The sequence below is a fragment of the Homo sapiens genome, chromosome 16, assembly GCF_000001405.40.
Source record: "Homo sapiens chromosome 16, GRCh38.p14 Primary Assembly".
Classification (NCBI taxonomy): Eukaryota; Metazoa; Chordata; class Mammalia; order Primates; family Hominidae; genus Homo; species Homo sapiens.
Window position 1 is genome coordinate 87,872,920 of NC_000016.10, and position 22,851 is coordinate 87,895,770.

General features: G+C 50.9%; 1 protein-coding gene across 5 annotated transcripts in view, besides 4 other annotated features; it reads right to left on the minus strand.

Annotated features, from left to right (window-relative positions):
- Positions 3,075-3,602: an enhancer, noted in NCBI's record as "H3K27ac-H3K4me1 hESC enhancer chr16:87909600-87910127 (GRCh37/hg19 assembly coordinates)". NCBI's record gives its function as "activates a minimal SCP1, AML or CMV promoter by ChIP-STARR-seq in naive H9 embryonic stem cells {active_cell/tissue: H9 hESC(naive)}" and the evidence as "EXISTENCE:reporter gene assay evidence [ECO:0000049][PMID:30033119]".
- Positions 4,744-5,385: an enhancer, noted in NCBI's record as "H3K4me1 hESC enhancer chr16:87911269-87911910 (GRCh37/hg19 assembly coordinates)". NCBI's record gives its function as "activates a minimal SCP1, AML or CMV promoter by ChIP-STARR-seq in naive H9 embryonic stem cells {active_cell/tissue: H9 hESC(naive)}" and the evidence as "EXISTENCE:reporter gene assay evidence [ECO:0000049][PMID:30033119]".
- Positions 5,386-6,027: an enhancer, noted in NCBI's record as "NANOG-H3K4me1 hESC enhancer chr16:87911911-87912552 (GRCh37/hg19 assembly coordinates)". NCBI's record gives its function as "activates a minimal SCP1, AML or CMV promoter by ChIP-STARR-seq in naive H9 embryonic stem cells {active_cell/tissue: H9 hESC(naive)}" and the evidence as "EXISTENCE:reporter gene assay evidence [ECO:0000049][PMID:30033119]".
- Positions 6,028-6,667: an enhancer, noted in NCBI's record as "NANOG-H3K4me1 hESC enhancer chr16:87912553-87913192 (GRCh37/hg19 assembly coordinates)". NCBI's record gives its function as "activates a minimal SCP1, AML or CMV promoter by ChIP-STARR-seq in naive H9 embryonic stem cells {active_cell/tissue: H9 hESC(naive)}" and the evidence as "EXISTENCE:reporter gene assay evidence [ECO:0000049][PMID:30033119]".
- CA5A (carbonic anhydrase 5A) overlaps positions 8,630-22,851 on the minus strand; it is a 54,981-nt gene continuing 40,759 nt past the window's right edge. For 2 of the 5 annotated variants that reach the window (NR_159799.1, NM_001739.2), the window contains 2 exons: positions 18,880-19,035; positions 15,094-15,353 (listed from right to left, as the gene is read on the minus strand). Coding sequence is in view for 3 of the 5 variants with exons in the window: in NM_001739.2 (NP_001730.1) it covers positions 15,210-15,353; positions 18,880-19,035 (300 nt within the window). In the remaining 2 variants the exon portion in view is untranslated. Of the gene's footprint in view, positions 9,021-15,093; positions 15,354-18,879; positions 19,036-20,699; positions 20,808-22,851 lie in introns of those variants that run through there. The other 3 variants (NR_159798.1, NM_001367225.1, XM_047434595.1) reach the window with 3 other exon arrangements.

Consider the following 22,851-nt stretch of genomic DNA (forward strand, 5'->3'; position numbering starts at 1 on the left):
TCCTTCCTTCCTTCCTTCCTTCCTTCCTTCCTTCCTTCCTTCCTTCCTTTCTTTCTCTCTCTCTCTCTCTCTCTCTCTCTTTCTCTCTTTCTCTCTTTCTTTCTTTCTTGTCTCACTTATCGCCCAGGCTAGAGTGTGGTGGCGCGATCTCGGCTCACTGCAAGCTCCGCCTCCTGGGTTCAAGTGATTCTCCTGCCTCAGCCTCCAGAGTAGCTGGGACTACAGGCGCCTGCCACCACGCCCGGCTAATTTTTTTGTATTTTTAGTACAAACGGGGTTTCACCGTGTTAGTCAGGATGGTCTCCATCTCCTGACCTCGTGATCCGCCCGCCTTGGCCTCCCAGAGTGCTGGGATTACAGGTGTGAGCCACTGTGCCCGGCCTCCAAACATTGCTTTCTACTGATCCCAGGTCTTTTGTGTTTTTCTTTTTTTTTTTGAGACAGAGTCTCACTGTCGCCCTGGCTGGAGTGCAATGGCACGATCTTGGCTCACTGCAACCTCTGCCTCCCGGGATCAAGTGATTCTCCTGCCTCAGCCTCCCGAGTAGCTGGGATTACAGGCACCTGCCACCACACCTGGCTAATTTTTGTATTTTTAGTAGAGGCTGGGTTCCACCAGGTTGACCACGCTGGTCTCGAACTCCTGGTGATCTGCCCACCTCGGCCTCCCAAAGTGCTGGGATTACAGGCGTGAGCCACCATGCTCGGCAACAATCCCAGGTCTTTAGACAACAAACTCAAACAATTGTCAACCAGAAAATGTTTAAATTGGTTGGGCGCGGTGGCTCACACTTGTAATCCCAGCGATTTGGGAACTTTGGGAGGCCGAGGCGGGGGGATCTCGAGGTCATGAGTTAAAGACCAGCCTGGCCAACATGGTGAAACCCCATCTCTACTAAAAATATAAACATTGGCCGAGTGCGGTGGCTCATGCCTGTAATCCCAGCACTTTGGGAGGCCGAAGCAGGCAGATCACTTGAGGTCAGGAGTTTAAGACCAGCCTGGCCAACATGGTGAAACCCCGTCTCTACCAAAAATACAAAAAAATTAGCTGGGCGTGGTGGTGGGCGCCTGTAGTCCCAGCTACTCGGGAGGCTGAGGCAGGAGAATGGCATGAACGTGGGAGGCGGAGGTTGCAGTGACGGGAGATCGCACCACTGCACTCCAGCCTGGGTGACAAAGCGAGACTCCGTCTCAAAAAAAAAATATATATATATATATATATATATATACACACATATATATACACACATATATACACATATATACACACATATATATACACATATATACACACATATATATACATATATGTATATACACATATATACATATATACGTATATATACACATATATACACATATATATACACACACACACATATATATACACACACATATATATATATAAACATCAGCTGGGCGTGTTGGTGCACCGCCTGTAATGGGAGGCTGAGGCAAGAGAATCGCTTGAAACCAGAAGGCAGAGGTTGCAGTGAACCAAGATTGTGCCACTGCACTCCAGCCTGGGTGGAAGAGCGAAACTCTTGTCTCAAAAAAAAAAAAAAAGAAAATGTTTACATTTACCTCTAGCCTGGAAGCCCCCCTCCTGCTTTGAGTTGTCCCGCCTTTCTGAACCAAACCAATGTATTTTTTAAATGTACTTGATTGATGTCTCATGTCTCCTTAAAATGTATAAGACCAAGCTGCACCCCAACCACCTTGGGCACATGCGGTCCGGACCTCCCGAGGCTGTGTCACGGGTGCGCCCTCAACCTTAGCAAAATACGCTTTCTAAATTAAAGGAGGCCTGTCTCAGATTTGCTGGCTTCACAACCCTTAATTGAAGTGGGGCTTCCTGGGGCCGCCTCTCTCCTGTGAGTCCCCTGCCGGGCTGGTTCTCAGTCACAGGGGAGAAATGCCTGCATCTTTTAACATAGCAAGGGTCCTTGCTTCTTCTGGAGGTTGTTTTTGAAAGCCATGCTTTTATTATGCTCAGAGGTGAGCTTTTCCTATCTGCATGCTTGACAAGGTGGGGCTGCCCTGAGTACGATCAGAAATTCCGTTCTGTTTCCAGGCAGATAGGTGTGTAGGGCAGCCACTCAGTCAGTGTTCGGCCTTAAAGACTCTTGCCAGTCAAGGAAGACGACCGAGGCAAGTCTCCGTCATTTTAGCTTTAAATGCCAACATTAGGGACGCGCACCTGAGAGACTGGTCTATGCCTTTCTCCGAAGATGATTTTGAGGGCTTCAATATTGAAAGGGGGAAGGGCAGGATATTGGGCAGTACACAATTTTCATGTGAAGGGGGTAGGGGAAAATTCAAGTTTTTGTCTGGTTTAGTGACTCTGCCGTTTCACGTAAGATACCCTAGACGATAGGGCAGCGGAAACAATGAGATATGCATTTGCTTCAGGTGGGCGGAGGGATGACTCAGTTCTGCCCCTCGTCCCAGCACCTGTGAAGATAAGCTAACGGTTCACATTGCCAGGGTGAACTTTAACAGAAGCGCTTAGGGTAAAGATCTTGGAGCCCACAAGGAATTTCCTTATGGGCAAAATGTGAGGGAGGTGTGTCGCTTTTCATCTTTTTTTTTTTTTTTTTTTGAGACGGAGTCTCACTCTGTCACCAGGCTGGAGTGTAGTGGGTCGATCTCAGCTCACTGCAACCTCTGCCTCCCGGGTTCAACTGATTCTTCTGCCTCAGTCTCCCAAGTAGCTGGGATTACAGGCGCCTGCCACCATGCCCGGCTAAGTTTTGCAGTTTTAGTAGGGACGGGGTTTCATCATGTTGGCCAGGCGGGTCTGGAATTCCTAACCTCAAGTGATCCACCCGCCTTGGCCTCCCAAAGTGCTGGGATTACAGGGGTGAGCCACCAAGCCCAGCCAAACTTTTCATCTCTGTAGCTGTTTGTTAAATAATTAGGAGCCGAAACAGGAGGCTGGTTCCCATGACACGGTCACCAGCTTCACTTTTCCCTTTCGTTAGCAAGTGTGGGGTCCCAGGATTTATGTTCCTTTCACACTCTCTATGCCATTTAATTTTTGCAGCAACTATAGTTAGTTGTCATTTATGGTTGGAGAAAAAGGGCAGTTCAGTAAGTGGCCAAGCCCAGCTTCAGACCCAGGGCAGGCCTTTAATCCTCGTGGCAATGCTGACTGCCACGCTGATGGCGCCACTTACATAGGCAGCCAGATTCATAAGCATGCGGATTCTCCCAGTTAAAAGAGAATTTTGGCCGGGGGCGGTGGCTCACGCCTGTAATCCCAGCACTTTGGGAGGCTGAGGTGGGCAGATCACAAGGTCAAGAGTTCAAGACCAGCCTGGCCAACATGGTGAAACTCCGTCTCTACCAAAAATACAAAAATTAGCCTGGCGCAGTGGCAGGCACCTGTAATCCCAGCTACTCGGGAGGCTGAGGCAGGAGAATTGCTTGAACCCAGCAGGCAGAGGTTGCAGTGAGCCAAGATTGTGCCACTGCACTCCAGCCTGGGCAACACACTGAGAATCCATCTAACAACAAAAAAAAGAGAACTTCATTTCAGCTGCCCCTGGTGGCACCTTGAAAGCCTCATTGCCTCTTCACTGGAAACATCCACCATTCTTGTTAAAGAAAAGACACTCATGACTTTCCTTCACCGAATCCTTCTAGCTTCTGTTTGAACACTTGGGTAGTCCCCCCACCCGTTTCCTGAAGTTCGTATGGGGGAACGGTAAACAGTGTCCATGCCTGCAAGTAAAATCCGAAGCCCTGCGATTGCTCAGTAACAGCTAGGAGCAAGGTTAGGGATTGTAGGGCCAGATTTTTTGCTTAGGTTCAACTAGGTAAAATAAAAATAGACTTTGCATGCATTTCAGGCACTGGGCTGATGACCGGCCACCAGGGAGGCTCCGCCCCACTTCTTAACTTTGGCCCCAACGTTAGTCTTGTTGCTGCTCTCAGATGTGCTCTGCGTGTCAAAGATGACTTGGAGGCTGGGCGCTGTGGCTCATGCCTGTAATGCCAGCCCTTTGGGAGACCAAGGTGGGAGAATTTCTTGAGCCCAGGAGTTCAAGACCAGCCTGGACAACATAGGGAGACCCCGTCTCTACAAAAAATACAAAAACTAGCCCAGCGTGGTGGTGGTGCACCTGTAGTTCCAGCTGCCGGGGAGGCTGAGGTAGAAGGATCACCTGAGATCAGGAAGGTTGAGGCTGCTGTGAGCTGAGATCATGCCACTGCACTCCAGCCTAGGCGACAGAGCGAGACCGGTCTTTTTTTTTTTTTGAGACGGAGTCTCGCTCTGTCACCCAGGCTGGAGTGCAGTGGCGCGATCTCGGCTCACTGCAAACTCTGCCTCCCGGGTTCACGCCATTCTCCTGCTTCAGCCTCCTGAGTAGCTGGGACTACAGGTGCCCGCCACCATGCCTGGCTAATTTTTTGTATTTTTAGTAGAGACGGGGTTTCACCGTGTTAGCCAGGATGGTCTTGATCTCCTGACCTCGTGATCCACCCTCCTCGGCCTCCCAAAGTGCTGGGATTACAGGCTTGAGCCACCGCGCCTGGCGAGACTGGTCTTGAAAAAAAAAAAAAAAAGATGACATGGAAGCAACAGTAGGAGCCGGGGTCAGAGTTCAGGCCCGTCCATCCGTGGATGATGGATAAACCCAGTGTAGTCCGCCATCCCTTGGAGCGTCATTCAGCCGCACACAGGAAGACACGCTGCAACGTGCAGGACCCCTGAAAACACTGGGCTGCGTGAAAGGGTCAGTGACCACGAGTTGTATGATTCCGAGTGCACGAATGTCCAGGACAGGCGGATCCAGAGAGATGGACGAGATTCGTGGCTGCTTAGGGCGGGGGGAAGGGGTGATGGAGAGTGAGGGCTGAGTGGATGGGGTCTCTCTTTGGGGTGATAAAATGTCTTGGAACTAGATGATGGGGATGGTTGCCCAACACTGGGAGTGACTTAAACACCACGGATTTGTACGTGTTTAAATGACTAACGGTTAATGTGATGTTATGTGTGAACTATACATCCAAAAGATAAAAGCAGTTCAGGCCTGGAATCGAACGGTCCTGGGTTCACATCTCACCTCTACCACTTGGTGGCACCAGGCGAGTGACTCGGCTCAGCTTTCGAAGTCTCAGTTTCCTCTTCTGTGAAGCAGGGAGACACCTGTGCCTGCCTCCTGGGGACCAGCAGGTAGAAGACCCTGAGCCGCTGGCATTGCCATCACTGCAGAACTGTGCTCCCAAGACCAGCCAGTGGAGGACCCTGAGGTACTGCTGTGTCCCTGTCACTGCAGAACTGTGCTCCCAGGGCTGGCGGATGGAGGACCCTGAGCCGCTGGTGTCATCCTCACTGCAGAACTGTGCTCCCGGGGCCAGCAGGTGGAGGACCCTGAGCTGCTGGTGTTGCCATCACTGCAGAACTGTGCTCCCAGGGCCGGCCGAATGCCTGGCTTCCACCCTCAGACTTTCTTTCCAATGTGGGCGAAGGGAACACGGAGGGACAGCGGTCGCAGCAGCCCACACTTGCTGTGTCGGGCGTGGTCTCAGTGGCTGGAGTGTGAAGATGGAGGCGGGGATGGGAGTGGGCGGCCCTGAGTCAAGGGACACCTGTAGCCCCCAGAAGCTGGAAGAGGCAGGAGGGGTCCTGGAGCCTCCCGAGGGAGCCTGGCCCTGCCACCACCTTGAAGTTGGCCTCTGGCCTCCAGGACTGTGAGAGAACAAAAGGGCTGTTGTCTTAAGCCCCTGTTTGCGGACAAAGGGAATAATCTCAACATTGAAAAAATATGGCCTTAATCTTTAGTGCTGTAGGTGGCAAACTTACCTTCAGGATGGCAGAGACAGATCTTTTTTTCCTGTTGACAGGCATTCTAACATTTCCAGAGACACGGGAGCCAGGTTCTCCTGCTGGGCCTCTGCACTATGAGCCAAACCTGCCTATTGTTAAGTGATTGAATGAGTTGACGCTCACCTTGAACTTTCTTCCACTCTGCCCTGGATTACAAGAAGAATTCATTGCTCAGCCCATGTCCCAGCATGAGGCTGGAAGCAGCTGTGAATTTTGTAGAGCCTGGAGGGCCCTGCACTCTTTGCAGCTGCCAGCTTCAGCGCTGCTCTCTTCGGCCACTTTGCCCCGCCTCTGTTTTGGGCAGTGGCTGCAGGGCAGATGCCACCCAACCAGGTCAAATTTCCCTGTGAGGATGGAAGTTTGTAGGTTATAATTCAGTTCTCCATCTTGGAAAATATCCAGGTGGATATTGTTTACCACCAAAACAATGACTTCTATCGCGTGAGCCCGAAAACCAGGCTGATGCGTGCTACGGCATGCGTGCGTGGTGCCTGCTCCATGTGTGAACTGTGTCTGTTCCATGTGTGAACCGTGTCTGTTCCATGTGTGAACTGTGTCTGTTCCATGTGTGATCCATGCTGCTCCATATGTGTTCCATGCTGCTCCATGTGTGAACCATGTCTGTTCCATGTGTGATTCATGCTGCTCCGTGTGTGATCCATGCTGCTCCATGTGGGAACCATGTCTGTTCCATGTGTGAACCATGTCTGTTCCATGTGTGAACCGTGTCTGTTCCATGTGTGAACCGTGTCTGTTCCATGTGTGATTCATGCTGCTCCATGTGTGATCCATGCTGCTCCATGTGGGAACCATGTCTGTTCCATGTGTGAACCATGTCTGTTCCATGTGTGAACCATGTCTGTTCCATGTGTGAACCGTGTCTGTTCCATGTGTGATCCATGCTGCTCCACATGTGAACCATGTCTTTTCCATGTGTGAACCATGTCTGCTCCATGTGTGATCCATGCTCTTCCATGTGTGAACCGTGTCTATTCCATGTGAGATCCATGCTGCTCCATGTGTGAACCGTGTCTGTTCCATGTGTGATCTGTGTCTGTTCCATGTATGGTCCATGCTGCTCCATGTGTGAACTGTGTCTGTTCCATGTGTGAACTGTGTCTGTTCCATGTGTGAGCCATGTCTGTTCCATGTGTGATCCATGTCTGCTCCATGTCTGATCACACCTGCTCCCTGTCACTCATTTTGTCTAGACTTCTCAATGATGACAGCCCCCAGTTACCCAGATTTAAGGTAGTTTCTAAATATTTGTAGCCAGATCCATCTAGTATCCTGCAATTCATTCATTGACTCAGCAAACATTTCACGATAGCTAGACATACGCCTGGCTTTGTGAGAATGTGTGTCCGTATGACACCCCAGCCTGCGGGTGACCCTTTCATGTGCACCCCTGTGATAACAGGGGATGTGCAGGAGCCCAGGTGCGGGGGGAGGGGATGCTGCTGCCTGGGGCTGGCACTGACGAAGGTGTGGTGGAGAGGAGGGGCTGCGCTGGGCCTTGGCAGAGAGGAGAAAGTGCATCTAGCAGAGCAGGGAGGACAGCCCAGGAGAGGGAGCAGCGCCTAGAGGACCTGCGGCAGCGCACAGCAGTCCCCGAGCTTACAAGTGGGAGCACTGCAGCCCATGGCGCCCGACCACGTTTATTGTGTGCTGTGGGCAAGCAGAACAGTTGAGGATCCCGCCCCTGGGGGCTCACATTCCAGAGGGGGATGCAAGCATCATGCAGCAACACGTGCCTGATGCCAACAGCTGGGGAGGGGACACAGGGAGACCGTGGTTGGGGCAGGTGTCTGAGAACTGGTTGAGGATGGAAAGGAGTGACTGTGAAGCAGCCTTGGGGACAGCAACCCCAGCCAGAGGCCCACACACACAAGGTGACGTGGAAGAGGGCCAGGCTGCGAATCTTGCTGGGAGAAGCTCGTGCTCATTCCCAAGCCTAGTGGAAAGCCTCAGTTTTGAACAGGGCAGCAGAATGGCCAAGTGTCGGTTTCTCAAAAAAACCCACTGTTAAAAGAAAAATGGATTTGGGGGAAGAGGGGAAGAGGCTGGAAAGAAAGTGGCTAAACTGGAAGGCCAGCTTGTCACTCAGGCTGCAGCAGAAGGGACAGAGAAAAGTGGACAGACTTGGAATAGGCGGCAGTTTGAGGGTCCTCCAGCAGAGCCTGCTGCTGCCCTGGGTGCAAGGAGTGAGGGGAGAGGAGGTCCCAAGGGGGCTCCCGAGATTGCCTGTGGCGTCGGGTGGATGGAGGAACCATTTATCAAGACGGGGTTGGTGGGCACAGAGTTGGGGACGCAGCAGTGCACGGACAGCCCACCTTTCAGCAGGAGGGACAAGTGTCAAAAAATGACACTTACTGCTCCGTTAACGGAGTAATGGAGCAGACACTCCGTTACTGCTGGGCACCGCTGTGTGCCAGGTGCCATCTGGGGGCTCAGCTCAGGCCGAGGAAACAGGAGGAGCAGGTGTTGAGCAGGTGGTATGGGGCGGGCGGGGAAGGGTGCCCTCAGGTCCATCAGAACAGCCACAAGAGCCCTGGGGTGGGAGGGGGCCGATATTCTGGTCGGCACAGAGTGGGCTGCCAGGAGAGGGCGGGGGCGGAGGGGCAGGAATGTGGATTCTGTCCCAAGGGGGCAAGGCTGAGGGGATGTAGCTGGGCACATGGTCTGCTCTGAATTGAGCTTGGTTCTCTAGAGGGTCGATGGGAAGGACGTGCTGGGGATGGGGAGGAAGCGGAGGAGGAGGAGGCGGTGGCAGCTGGGAACAGGCAATGCTTCTCACACAGGCGTATCTTTATTAAACAAGAAAATAAGATAAAAGCAAAGGGAGGAAGCCTTGAACCTTAAAAGCTGGGCCAGAAATTCTACAATACAATCAGAAGCCACAATCTGGTCACAGTGAGAGCCCTTCCCGCAGAGCCGCAGACACCGGCCGCTGCCCCTGGGGCGGGAGGGAAGCCTCCTGTTTGTTTTTTGTCCCGTTGCTTTGAGGGCTGGAATCAATGTCTTTTCCTCTCGGCGTGTTTGTGGTTTCATCTCAGTGTGTCCAGGCTCGGATGGCTTCCCGGGAGTATCTCCGTGTCTCAGGATTAGCACCAGTTTTTAAAAATAACTGACAAAGGCCATTTTTCAGGAGACAAAGATGTTGGTGGGTGCAGAGGGCCCCCTGTGTGTTGATACGGAAAATGAAGGTCAGCCACTCCCTGCTTCTCTTGGTGTCTTGTTGGACACGATGTCAACATGGGGCCGGTAGAACTGGAGCCCAGGGCCCCTCTGGCCGCTTGGGCCTTTCTCTGTCCCCAAGCCCACCTGGAAATGGGCAGCCCATGGAGAATGGCTGAATAGCTGCTCTCTGCCCCCATCCCAAGCCCCAGGTTCAGAGACCACCCCCTCCATTGACTGTGTCACCCCTTCCCCAGCAGAGGAGCGGGCTGTTCTCAGAGCGCTGCAGGAAGCCCAGACAAGTGCCTTCCTCTGGCTGCTGCTTCCATCAGCGTGAACTGCCCGGCATTGTAGGATAAGTTTTCTCCTGGGTTTTAAGGTTCAGGACTTTCTCTCTTTGCTGCGCTTTTTCCTTGACTGATTGCACAAATCAGAGAAGGCAAGAGTGAAATGCTGCGTATCCCTTGGCCTAGCGGGTCAGCGACAACTTTCTTAACTTCTCAAGTGAGCCTCAGTTTCCTTATTAAAAACCAGGGACGATTTTGTGGAACTTGTCGCAACTCAATGGGAGTGCCGTGGCCCTTACGCCCAACGACACCATCCTGTCACTTCGGGAGTTTTTCCTAAAACACCATTCCCCAGACCAACGGCGCTGCGAGCTTCTGGGGCGTGGGCTGGGCCCAACATGTCAGTGCGACCCACAGCGGGGCTGGAGCTGCTGAATGTGCACAACACACTTCACCCGGGCCTGGTTCAGGAGCGGGCGAGGCAGCCGTACACCCTGTCCTTCAGCAGACTCCTCTTGATCGATGGAATCGAAGTCAGGCGCAGCAGCTTAGAGCAGAACAGAAACGTGCCCATTTCCCCGCTTGGTGCTTTCCCGCTTCCACTTCGACTCCTTCAACCCAATCCTCTTTCACCCGCATCGCCACCAAGTGTGATCTCCTTTAAAGAGCCAGACGCTTTATTTTGGGGGGGCGTGGAGGGGTGGAGTCTCACTCTGTTGCCCAGGCTAGAGGGCAGTGGCACAATCTCAGCTCACTGCGACCTCCACCTCCTGGGTTCAAGCGATTTCTGGCTAGATTTTGTTTTGTTTTGTTTTGAGACGGAGTCTCGCTCTGTCGCCCAGGCTGGAGTGCGGTGGCCACCATCTCGGCTCACTGCAAGCTCTGCCTCCCAGGTTCAAGCAATTCTCCTGCCTCAGCCTCCACAGTAGCTGGGATTATAGGTGCGTGCCAACACGCCCGGCTGATTTTTCTTTGTATTTTTAGAAGAGACAGGGTTTCACAATATTGCCCAGGCTCGTCTCAAACTCCTGACCTCATGATCTGCCCACCTCAGCCTTCCAAAGTGCTGGGATTACAGGCGTGAGCCACCGCGCCTAGCCTTAGTTTTTTTTTTTTTTTCTTTTTGAGATGGAGTCTCACTCTGTTGCCCAGGCTGGAGTACAGTGGCACGATCTCGGCTCACTGAAACCTCCACCTCCTGGGTTCAAGCAATTCTCCCTGCCTCAGTCTCCCGAGTCGCTGGGACTACAGGTACACACCAGCACACCCGGCTAGTTTTTTGTATTTTTAGTAGAGACGGGGTTTCACCGTGTTAGCCAGGATGGTCTTGATCTCCTGACCTCATGATCTACCTGCCTCAGCCTTCCAAAGTGCTGGGATTACAGGCGTGAGCCACCGCACCCGGCCTACTTTTCGTATTTTTTTTTTTTTGGAGGCGGAGTCTCGCTCTGTTGCCCAGACTGGAGTGCAGTGGCACAATCTTGGCTCATTGCAACGTCTGCATCCTGGGTTCAAGCAATTCTCCTGCCTCAGCCTCCCAAGTAGCTGGGATTACAGGTGCCTGCCACCACGCCCAGCGAATTTTTTGCATTTTTTTTTAGTAGAGACGGGGCTTCACCGTTTTGCCCAGGCTGGTCTCGAACTCCTGACCTCAGGTGATCTGCCCACCTCAGCCTCCCAAAGTGCTGGGATTGCAGGCGTGAGCCACCGCGCCTGACCTAACCTACTTATTCTTTATCTCCCCGGAATGAAATGGCCTTTATCACCTTGGGAAACAGATTAGCATCTGCTTATTTTTCTGTGCTCATCTGACTGTAAGGTAATGTTGGAAGATAATGTAATTAGGTTTATTGTAAAACTTTCTCTCTTCTGGCGGGAATATTTTTTAATGCTATGAAAATAAAAATACTGGGCCAGGCGCGGTGGCTCATGCCTGTAATCCCAGCACTTTGGGGGGCCAAGGTAGGCAGATCACCTGAGGTCAGGAGTTCGAGACCAGCCTGACCAACATGGTGAAACCGAATCTCTACTAAAAATGCAAAAAAAAAAAAAAAAAAAAAAAAGACTGGGCACAGTGGCTCGCGTCTGTAATCCCAGCACTTTGGGAGGCTGAGGCGGGCAGATCACCTGAGGTTGAGAGTTTGAGACCAGCCTGACCAACATGGAGAAACCCCGTCTCTCGTAAAAATACAAAATTAGCCAGGCGTGGTGGCCCATGCCTGTAATCTCAGCTAATTGGGAGGCTGAGGCAGGAGAATCACTTGAACCTGGGAGGCAGAGGTTGTGGTGAACCAAGATCGCATCAATGCACTCCAGCCTAGGCGACAAGAGCAAAACTCTGTCTCAAAAAAAAAAAAAAAAATTCGCTGGGCGTGGTGGCGGGCACCTGTAATCCCAGCTACTCCGGAGGCTGAGGCAGGAGAATTGTTTGAACCCGGGAGGCAGAGGTTGCAGTGAGCTGAGATCGTGACATTGCACTCTAGCCTGGGCAACAGAGCTACACTCCATCTAAAAAAAAGGAAAAGAAAAACACTGTACTGATTTTGGATTTTTTCCAAGCAAGTAATAGGTAAAAAGAAACCCAAACTGGCTTACATGAAAGGGCACCTATTGGCTTGTGTAACTGATCAGGTGCAACCATTGCTATAAGCTTGATCCAGACCCGACTCAGTGACTCATGCCAGTAATCTCAGCAGTTTGGGAGGACGAGGCAGGCGGATCACCTGAGGTCGGGAGATCGAGACCAGCCTGACCAACATGGAGAAACCCCGTCTCTACTAAAAATACAAAATTAGCCAGGCACGGTGGTGTATGCCTGTAATCCCAGCTACTTGTGAGGCTGAGGCAGGAGAATCACCTGAACCCGGGAGGTGAAGGTTGCAGTGAGCCAAGATTGCGCCACTGCACTCCAGCCTGGGTGACAAAGCAAGACTCCATCTCAAAAACAAAACAAAACAAAACAAAACAAAACAACAACAACAACAAAAAAAAGAGGGTGAAAGGCAGCCCCAGAGTGGGAGAAGAGATTTGTAAAATGGACAAAGGCCTTATAATTGGAATATATAAAGAACTCCTAAAAATCAATAAGAAAACCACAGACAGCCCAAGAGAAAAATGGGCAAATGGCTCAAGCAGGTATCTGGTGAAAGAGGATATGCAGACGGCCAATGAATCTGCACAAAGTGCTCCACGTCATGAATCATTAGGGAAGTGCAAATTAAATCCACAGGAGACACCTGGGCACACCCTCCAGAAAGCACACAATGACCTGCTGGCAAGGACAGGAATGACCACTTTGGAAAACTCTTTGGCAGCACAGCCGAACTGAGCCTCTCCACTTGAAAATGCCCTTTGCTCAGAACCCAGCAGCAGCTCCAAAGTCTCCACCCAGCCTGTGGGGCCCCAGTACCCACCCTTGCCTCCCATGCCTCTCTCCTCACCCCTGCACTTGGCTGCCCTCACCCTCGGGCTGCACCTTGAACACCAGAAGGGCGCTCCTGCCTCCAGCCTCTGCCTGGAATTCTCTGCCCTTGGGTAGCCACGTGGTTCACTCCTCCTTTGGTCTCTGCCCAAATGGCCCCTGTAGAAGAGACCTCCCCACCCAGCCATGTCCTCTTCCTGTGACTTACCACTCCAGACTTTCTGTGTGGATGCATCATGGTCTACCTCCTTCCATCAGAATGTGAGCTCCGAGGCAAAGGCTCTTCAGACCTTAAACAGTCTAGGCTCCGTCCCCAGAGTCTAGAATAGAGCCTGCCACGTAATTGGCACTCAATAAATGTTACATGAATTAATGGAAACCATCCTGGCACGAGTGGTAGCTCTCTTTCCTCCAAAAGAATGAGCTTGCCGAGAGAGACAACATCATGAAAGAGAGACAGAAAAGCCACACTCAGACCCAACATTGAGTTCTGGATCAAGTTTTTTTTTTTTTTTTTTTTTTTGAGACAAAGTTTCGCTCTTGTTTCCCAGGCTGGAATGCAATGGCGCGATCTCGGCTCACTACAACCTCCGCCTCACGGGTTCAAGCAATTCTCCTGCCTCAGCCTCCCGAGTAGCTGGGATTACAGGCATGCACCACCAAGCTCGGCTAATTTTGTATTTTTAGTAGAGATGGGGTTTCTCCATGTTGGTCAGGCTAGTCTGGAACTTGGCCTCCGAAAGTGCTGGGTTTACAGGCGTGAGCCACAGCGCCCAGCTCCTGTTATTTTTTAGGAGCTTTATTGTTTTACCTTTCCTGTTTAGATCTATAATCTGTCAGGAATTAATTTTTGTGTGTGCTGTGAGGTAGGGGTGTGAGGTATGGTGAGAAAAAAGATTCATGGTTCCCCATTTGGATATCCCGTTGGCTCGGTGGGGTGGCTAATGCCTGTAATCCCAGCACTTTGGGAGGTCAAGGCAGGAGAACTATTGGAGCCCAGGAGTTCAGGACCAACCTGGGCAACATAGTGAGACCCCATGGATCGACTGATGAATTGATCGATCAATCAATAGATAGATCAATCAATAGATATCCAAATGATCCAAAACTATTCACAGAAGAGCCCATCCATTCCCTACAGCATGAGTCAGGGATCACAAATGTGTGGAACCTTCTAGACACGCTATTCTTTTTCATTGGTTGATTTGTCCTTCTCTGACAGGTACCACATTATCTTAATTAATATAGCTTTTTATTTTTATTTATTTATTTATTTTGAGATGGAGTCTCGCTCTGTCACCCTGGCTGGAGTGCAGTGGCATGATCTCGGCTCACTGCAAGCTCTGCCTCCCGGGTTCAAGCGATTCTCCTGCCTCAGTCTCCTGAGTAGCTGGGATTACAGGCATGAGCCACCACACCTAGCTCATTTTTGTATTTTTAGCAGAGACGGGGTTTCGCCATGTTGGTCAGGCTGGTGTCGAACTTCTGACCTCAGGTGGTCTTCCCGCCTCGGCCTCCCAAAGTGCTGGGATTACAGGCATGAGCCACTGCACCTGGCCTACTACAGCTTTTGAAGTAGGTCTTGACATCAAATTGTGTATGTTTTCTGGTTTTATCCTGCCAGATTATTTTTGGTTGTATTTTTGGTAGAGACGGGGTTTCACCATGTTGGCCAGGCTGGTCTCAAACTCCTGACCTCAAGTGATCTGCCTGCCTTGGCCTCCCAAAGTGCTGGGATTACAGGCGTGAACCACGGTGCCTGGCCTCACAAGAATTCCTTTTTACTTTGAGACAGAGTTTTGCTCTTGTTGCCCACGCTGGAGTGCAATAGTGTGATCTTGGCTCACTGCAACCTCTGCCTCCCGGGTTCAAGCAATTCTTCTGCCTCAGCCTCCCAAGTAGCTGGGATTACAGACATGCAGCACCACACCCAGCTAATTTTTGTGTTTTTTATAGAGATGGGGTTTCACCGTGTTGGCCAGGATGGTCTCGATCTCCTGACCTCGTGATCCGCCCGCCTCGGCCTCCCAAAGTGCTGGGATTAAAGGCATGAGGCAATGCACCCCGCCAGTTCTTACAAGGAGGAGGCAGAAGCTGGAAAGGCAAGGAAAAAGATCCTGCCCTAGAGCCTCAGAAGGAAGCAGCCGTGAGGACACCTTGGTGTCGGGCTTCTGGCTCACTGAACCGTAAGAGAATCAATCTCCATTGTTTTAATCCACCAAGTTTGTGGTACTTCGTTACAGTGAAACTAAGCACCCTGCACTTGCGTTGGGTGCCATGGCACACCCCTCCATCCCAGCGTTATGTTCCCCACGGTACTTACACATCTTTCTTTCACTTGCAGCTGAAAAGTACTTCGACTAAAACAATAACCTCATGCTCTCTTTTTAATTTCAGAAGTCATGTACAATCACATTGTGAAACTTGGGAAACAACGCTTCCTTCCTTCAAAGTCAGTTCTGCTATTCATGTGGACCTAATGTCTCTAGGACCTTGTGCCCTCATTAGTGGCCTGGAAGGACGCCCAGACCTTCCGGTTCATCAAGGGTTGAAGTGGGCGATAGTTGTTCACCATCATCTTCTCCTCTTCACCAAGTGCAGAAAACAGGAGAGTACGAAATGCAGAGAGCTGGAATAGAGGGCAGCCAGGGTGAGCTTGGTATGAGTGCAGGGTGAGCCAGCCTCTGGGTGTCCCTCAGGCCTTATGTGGTCCCCTCCCATGCTGAATCAGGATGGCCCGAAATGATCAATAAATATGGTGGAAGTGATGGTGTGTGCAGGGCCAGATTATAAAAGGCATTGCCGCTTCCGCCTTGGTCTTTAGGATCACTTGCTCTGGGGGGAAGCTGGTCGCCATATTGGGAGGGTACTCAAGCAGCCCCGAGGAGAGGCCCATAGGGAGAGGAACTGAGGCTCCCAGCGAACTGCCAGCACCAACTTGCTAGCTACTCGAGAGGGCCAACCTTGGAATGAATCCTCTAGCCCTAGTTGAGCTTTCAGATTGCTACAGTCCCAGCTGACACTGGGCTACAATTCATGAAAGATGGTAAGCCAGAGCCACCCAAATTCACAACCCAAGGAAACTATGGGAGATAATAAATGATTGGTTTTTGTTGTTGTTGTTTGAGACAGTGTTTCGCTCTTGTTTCCCAGGCTGGAGTGTCATTGGCGAGATCTCAGCTCGCTGCAACCTCCGCCTCCCAGGTTCAAGCGATTCTCCTGCCTCGGCCTCCTGAGTAGTTGGAATTACAGGCACAAGCCACCACGCCCGGCTAATTTTTTTTTTTTTTTTTGAGATGGAGTTTCGCTCCTGTTGCCCAGACTGGAGTGCAATGGTGTGATCTTTGCTCACCGCAACTTCTGCCTCCTGGGTTCAAGGGATTCTCCTGCCTCAGCCTCCTGAGTAGCTGGGCTTACAGGCATGCACCACCATGCCCAGTTAATTTTGTATTTTTAGTAGAGATGGGGTTTCTCCATGTTGGTCAGGCTGCTCTCAAACTCCTGACCTCAGGTTATCCACCTGCCTCGGCCTCCCAAAGTACTGGGATTATAGGCGTTTAGCCACTGTGCTAGGCCTAATTTTGTATTTTTAGTAGAGACAGGGTTTCACCATGTTGGTCAGGCTGGTCTTGAACTCCTGACCTCAGGTGATCGACTTGCCTAGGCCCCCAAAGTGCTGGGATTACAGGCATGAGCTACTGCACCCGGCTCAAATGATTGTTTTCTAAAGCCACTATGTTTTGGAGCTATTTGTTACACAGCAATAGATAACTAACACCTATAATGTAAATGCTAAAGTAACATTTGAATTTACTTTTCACTGAAGGAACTAAAAGACTACTTTTTATGGCTGGATGTGGTGCCTCACGCCTGTAATCCCAGCACTTTGGGAGGCCGAGGTGGGTGAATCACCTGAGGTCAGGAGTTTGAGACCAGCCTGGCCAACATGGAGAAACCCTGTTTCTACTAAAAATACAAAATTAGCCAGGTGTGGTGGCTCATGCTTGTAATCCAGCTACTTGGGAGGGTGAGGCAGGAGAAGCTCTTTAACCTGGGAGGCGGAGCTTGTGGTGAGCGAGATCACGCCATTGCACTCCAGCCCGGGCAAGAAGAGGGAAACTCCATCTCAAAAAAAAATAATAAAATAAAAAATAAAAAAAGACTTTTTATGTATTATCTCACTTGTTCACAGAATATACTTATGAACCCTGTGAGGCAACTCACGCATTTGATTACATTCAGAAGTGAGATTATGTCTACATGCTGACAGCATACTGGTCCAGTTAGCCCTGCGTGATGATGCAGCGCCCCCTAGAGTTGCGCGCATGGTGCACGTGGCCTCCTGGGCCGTGACCACGGTGTGCTCATCCACATTTGTGGTCTGCACATTTGTTGACTGTGCAGCCTTTCTCCTCCCCTGGAAAACTCCCCGCCTTCCAGGACATGTGCCTCCCTGGCTCCCCTGCTCAGGATAAGGGGCTCCTGCCCTGCATTTTTATATGACACCGGCCACCCTGGCTTAATACTATTGGCTTCGTTTCTACTTTCCTGCCATACAGCAGTGTTCTGAGACGAATGCCCTGTTCCTGTACCGCCCCTCCACACCTGCCCCCCTCCCACCCTCTCTTGGTGGCACAGACCCAGAATGGGCACTTGTCACATATATGCTTGTTGAGTGGCATAAGGGCCTTGCTGACAAGGGGCCACCTTCAACAAAAGCCTTCCCCGTTTGTATATAAGGGAATATTTTCACAGGCCCGGGAGACTGAAAGACCCTCTAAGAGCTCACCTGGAGCCCTCGGAAAGAGATGAGCCAGAGATGCTAAGTCGCGCTGCGACTGCTGAGAAACGTCTGCCGGGCGGGGGCGGGGCATAGGCAGCACGTCTGTGGCTCTGAACTGCCTTGGACAGACAGAATTGCTACAGATTCTTAAGATTTCCAGAAAAAAATGATAGTATAACTTTTATTTATTTTTTATTTTATTTTTTTGAGGCAGAGTGTCACTCTGTCACCCAGGTTGGAGTGCAGTGGTGCCATCTCAGCTCACTGCAACCTCCGCCTTCCAGGTTCAAGTGATTCTCCTACCTCAGCCTCCCAAGTAGCTGGGATTACAGGCAAACGCCACCATGCCTGGCTAATTTTTGTATTTTTATTTATTTATTTATTTGAGATGGAGTTTTGCTCTTGTTGTCCAGGCTGGAGTGCAGTGGCGTGATCTCAGCTCACTGCAGCCTCTGCCTCCCGGCTTCAAGTTATTCTCTTGCCCCAGCCTCCCAAGTAGCTGATATTACAGGCATGCACCACCACGCCTGGCTAATTTTGTAGATTTAGTAGAGACGGGGTTTCACCATGTTGGTCAGGCTGGTCTCGAACTCCTGGCCTCAAGTGATCTGGCTGCCTTGGCCTCTTTAAGTCCTAAAATTATGGGCATGAGCCATGACGCCCAGCCCAAGAGTATAACTTTAAAAAGTGTATACAAATATTATTAATTAATTTTCGAAAAAAAAAAAAGCAATGAAACTATTTAGATAAGAAAAAGGAGGCCGGGCTCGGTGGCTTATGCCTGGAATCCCAGCGCTTTGGGAGGCCAAGGTGGGCAGATCACCTGAGGTCAAGAGTTCAAGACCAGCCTGGCCAACATGGTGAAACTCCGTCTCTACTAAAAATACAAAAATTAGCCAGGCGTGGTGATGGGTGCCTGTAATCCCAGCTATTTGGGAGGCTGAGGCAGGAGAATCGCTTGAACCCAGGAGGTGGAGGTTGTAGTGAGCCGAGATCGCACCACTGCACTCCAGCCTGGGCGATAGAACGAGACTCTGTCTCAAAAAAAAAAAAGGAAAGAAAAGAAAAAGGAAGAAAACAAAAACCATGCAGACCCATGACCCTGGGACAACTCCCATGGATGCCTCGTGTGTCTGTGTGTGATAGATTAGGGCGTTGCTCAGGACATGCTTGCTGTGATCACTGGAACCGCTGTCCAATCTCAACAAGCTCCTACTTCAGTTGGAATTTTCTTCTTGTGTAAGAATGCCCCAAATGCATGAAAGAATATATATAACTCCACAACGCTCTCATGCAGCATCTTAGTGACGCTGCCAAGCAAGAGGGACGCCTTCCATGAAGCGCCATCGTGCCAGTTACGGGCACGGCTCACCTGGCTTGGGGCCACTTCAACGGGCTCCTTCTGGATGATCCAGGTGACCGACTCGGTCAGCGGCGGGGTGGTGAGCGAGCCCGCGTAGGTCCAGTAATCCCAGCAGGTGGGCAGCAGAGTGGAGGGGTCGAAGGGGCGCATGGCCGCCCGCGCGTCCTGAGAGACCGAGAAGCACAGGACGTGTCAGTCCTCAGGGGAGACTAGGAGCTTCCATCTTGTCTCAGCACGTGAGGCCTTCATGGTGCTTGGAAGGAAGTGCTTTCCCCCAGATAAGGCCATGAGGCCACTGCTGTCACACTTGCAAGCAGTGATGAGAAAATGTGACCCTTCTATACAGAGCAAGGATTCCTGCCAACTTACATTGGTGGGAATTACGTTACATTACACCAGCTTACGTTGGTGCTCACATTTTTCCTTTTGAAGTCATTTCTTGGGGCGCAGTAGCTCACCCCTGTAATCTCAGCACTTTGGGAGGCCGAGGCGGGTGCATCACTTGAGGTCAGGAGTTCGAGACCAGCCTGGTCAACGTGGTGAAACCCTGTCTCTACTAAAAATACAAAAATTATCCAGATGTGGTGGTGGGCGCCTGTAGTCCCAGCTACTCAGGAGGCTGAGGCAGGAGAATCGCTTGAGCCCAGGAGGCAGAGGTTGCAGTGAGCCGAGATCATGCCACTGCACTCCAGCCTGGGCAACAGAGTGAGACTCTGTCTCAAATAATAATAATAATAATAATAATAATAATAATAATAATAATAATAAATTAATTAATAATAAAAATAAAAATAAAGCCATTTCTTTTAGCATACCTTGGCTGCAAAAAATATTACTTTTTATTGTGATAAAATATACATAACATAAAATTTACCATCTTAACCTTTTTTTTTTTTTTTTCGAGATGGAGTTTTGCTCTTGTTGCCCAGGCTGGAGTGCAATGGTGTGATCTTGGCTCACCGCAACCTCTGCCTCCCAGGTTCAAGCGATTCTCCTGCCTCAGCCTCCAGCGCCTGCCACCACGCCCAGCTAATTTTTGTATTTTTAGTAGAGACAGGGTCTCACCATGTTAGCCAGGCTGGTCTTGAACTCCTGACCTCGGATGATCCACCCGCCTTGGCCTCCCAAAGTGCTGGGGTGAGCCACTGTGCCCGGCCTATGGGCTCCTTTTTAAGGAGGGAGTCATGGTGGCCAAGAAGGATGTCCACATGCCTAAGCACCCGGAGATGGCAGACAAGAATGTGCCCAACCTTCATGTCACGAAGGCCATGCAGTCTCTCAAGCCCCGAGGCTGCCTGAAGGAACAGTTTGCCTAGAGACATTTCTTTCTTTCTTCCTTTCTTTCTTTCTTTCTTTCTTTTTTTTTTCAGACAGAGTCTCCAGGCTGGAGTGCAGTGGTGCGATCTCAGCTCACTGCAGCCTCTGCTTCCTGGGTTCCAGCGATCCTCCTGCCTCAGCCTCCCTAGTAGCTGGGACTACATCTTCACGCCATCGCGACCAGCTAATTTTTTATATTTTTAGTAGAGACGGGGTTTCACCATATTAGTCAGGATGGTCTCGATCTCCTGACCTCGTGATCTGCCCACCTCGGCCTCCCAAAGTGTTGGGATTACAGGCGTGAGCCACCACGCCCGGCTTGCCTGGAGACATTTCTACTGCTACCTTACCAATGAGGGCATCCAGTATCTCCGTGATTACCTTCATCTGTCCCTGGAAACTGTGCCTGCCACCCTATGCTGCAGCCGTCCAGGGACTGGCAGGCCTCGGCCTAAAGGTCTGGAGGGTGGGCGACCTGCAAGACTCACAAGAGGGGAAGCTGACAGACATACCTACAGACGGAGTGCTGTGCCCCTGGTGCCGACAAGATAGCCGAGGCTCGGGCTGGGTCAGCAACCGAATTCCAGTTTAAAGGCAGATTTGGTCGTGGACATGGCCAGCTACCTCAGTAAAATCAGAGAGGATTATTTTGCATTGAATACACTCACAGCCAAAAAACAAAAAGAGTCAGGGTCTTACTTTGTCACCCAGGCAGGAGTGCAATGATGCCATCATAGCTCACTGCAGGCTCTAATTCCTGGGCTCAAGCGATCCCCCCGCCTCAGTTTCCCAAGTAGCTAGGACACCACACCAGGGTTTAAAATTAATTGTTTGTAGCCAGGGGGTCTTGCCATCTTGCCCAAGCTGTTCTCCAACTCCTGGGCTCAAGCGATCCTCCTGCCTTGGCTTCTCAAAATATTGGGATTACAGGCATAAGCCACTGTGCCCAGCCAGCTCTTTTGGATATATACCCAGAAGTGTGTGATTGCTGAATCATAGGGTAGTTCTATTTATAACTTTTTATTTTTTTTATTTTTTTTGAGGCAGAGTCTCACTCTGTCTTCCAGGCTGGAGTGCCGTGGCATGATCTCAGCTCACGGTGGTTGGGCCTGGCCGCAACACAGCCCTCATCAGCGTCCCATGCCAACCAAGCATAGCTCTGCACCTGCCCCTGGCCAGCACTGTGGGACAAGAGTCCAGTCCAAAGTGACAGAGTCCCTGTCTGCAAGGAAGATGGCCTCCCTGCTCAGCCACATCACATCACCTTGACTTTGCTGGGCCCTGGCCTTCCAAGGTGGAAGCTGGCAACCCAGATGCCTTGGGCTTGTCTCCTAACATCAAGCAGTGAGGGTCAGGGTCAAGAGAGGTGGCTGAGCTACCAGAAGGAAGCCCGGGAGTGTCCACACTGGCAGACACATGCATCAGTTCTATGCACGCATGTTCACGTTTATAATTATCCAGTTAATTAAAAAAAAAAAAACAGCATTATAGGCTGGGCACAGTGGCTCATGCCTGTAATCGCAGCATTTTGGGAGGCCAAGGCAGGCAGATCACCTGAAGTCAGGAGTTCAAGACCAGCCTGACCAACATGGCGAAACCCCATCTCTACTAAAAATACAAAAATTAGCCAGGCATGGTGGCAGGTGCCTGTCATCGCAGCTGCTCGGGAGACTGAGACACAGGAACTGCTTTGGCACAGGATGCAGAGGTTGCAGTGAGCCGAGATGGCACCATTGCACTCCAGCCTGGGCAACAGAGAGAGAGACTCTGTCTCAAACAACAGCAGCAGCAGCAAAACCCACAGCATTATTGTGATAGAATTCACATACCATGCAACTCTCCCATCTAAAGTGTACAGCCTGGTTGGGCGCAATGGATCATGTCTGTAATCCCAGCACTTTGGGAGGCCGATGTGGGAGGACTGCTTGAGGCCAGGAGTTTGAGACCAGCCTAAGCAACATAACGAGACCCTGACTCTACAAAAAATACAAAAACTAGCCAGGTGCAGTGGTGCACGCCTGTGGTCCCAGGTAGTTGGGAGGCTGAGGTGGGAGGATGGCTTGAGCCCCGGAGGTTGAGGCTGCAGTGAGCTGTGATCATACCACTGCACTCTAGCCTCGGTGACGGAGTGAGATCCTTTCTTAAAATAAGTAAATAGGCTGGGCACGGTGGCTCACGCCTGTAATCCCAGCACTTTGGGAGGCCGAGGCGGATGGATCACCTGAGGTCAGGAGTTCGAGACCAGCCTGACCAACATGGCGAAACCATGTCTCTACTAAAAATACAAAATTAGCCAGGCGTGGTGGCGCATGCCTGTAATCCCAGCTACTCGGGAGGCTGAGGCAGGAGAATCACTTAAACCCGGGAGGCAGAGGTTGCAGTGAGCTGAGCTCATGCCATTGCACTCCAGCCTGGGCAACAAGAGTGAAACTCCATCTCAAAAAGAAAACAAAAAACAAAAAACAAAAAAAGTAAATAAAAATTGAAGGGTACAGTTCTATGGTTTTGGGTATATTCACAGTTGTGCAGCCATCCCAAGTCAATTTTAGAACTTCCACCTCAAGGGGGAAGCTTGGTACTTTTTAGCTATGGTCCCCACCCCCGCCCTGCTGCTTCTGTCTCTGTGGGTTTCATAGGAACTGAGTCATGTAACATGTGGAACAT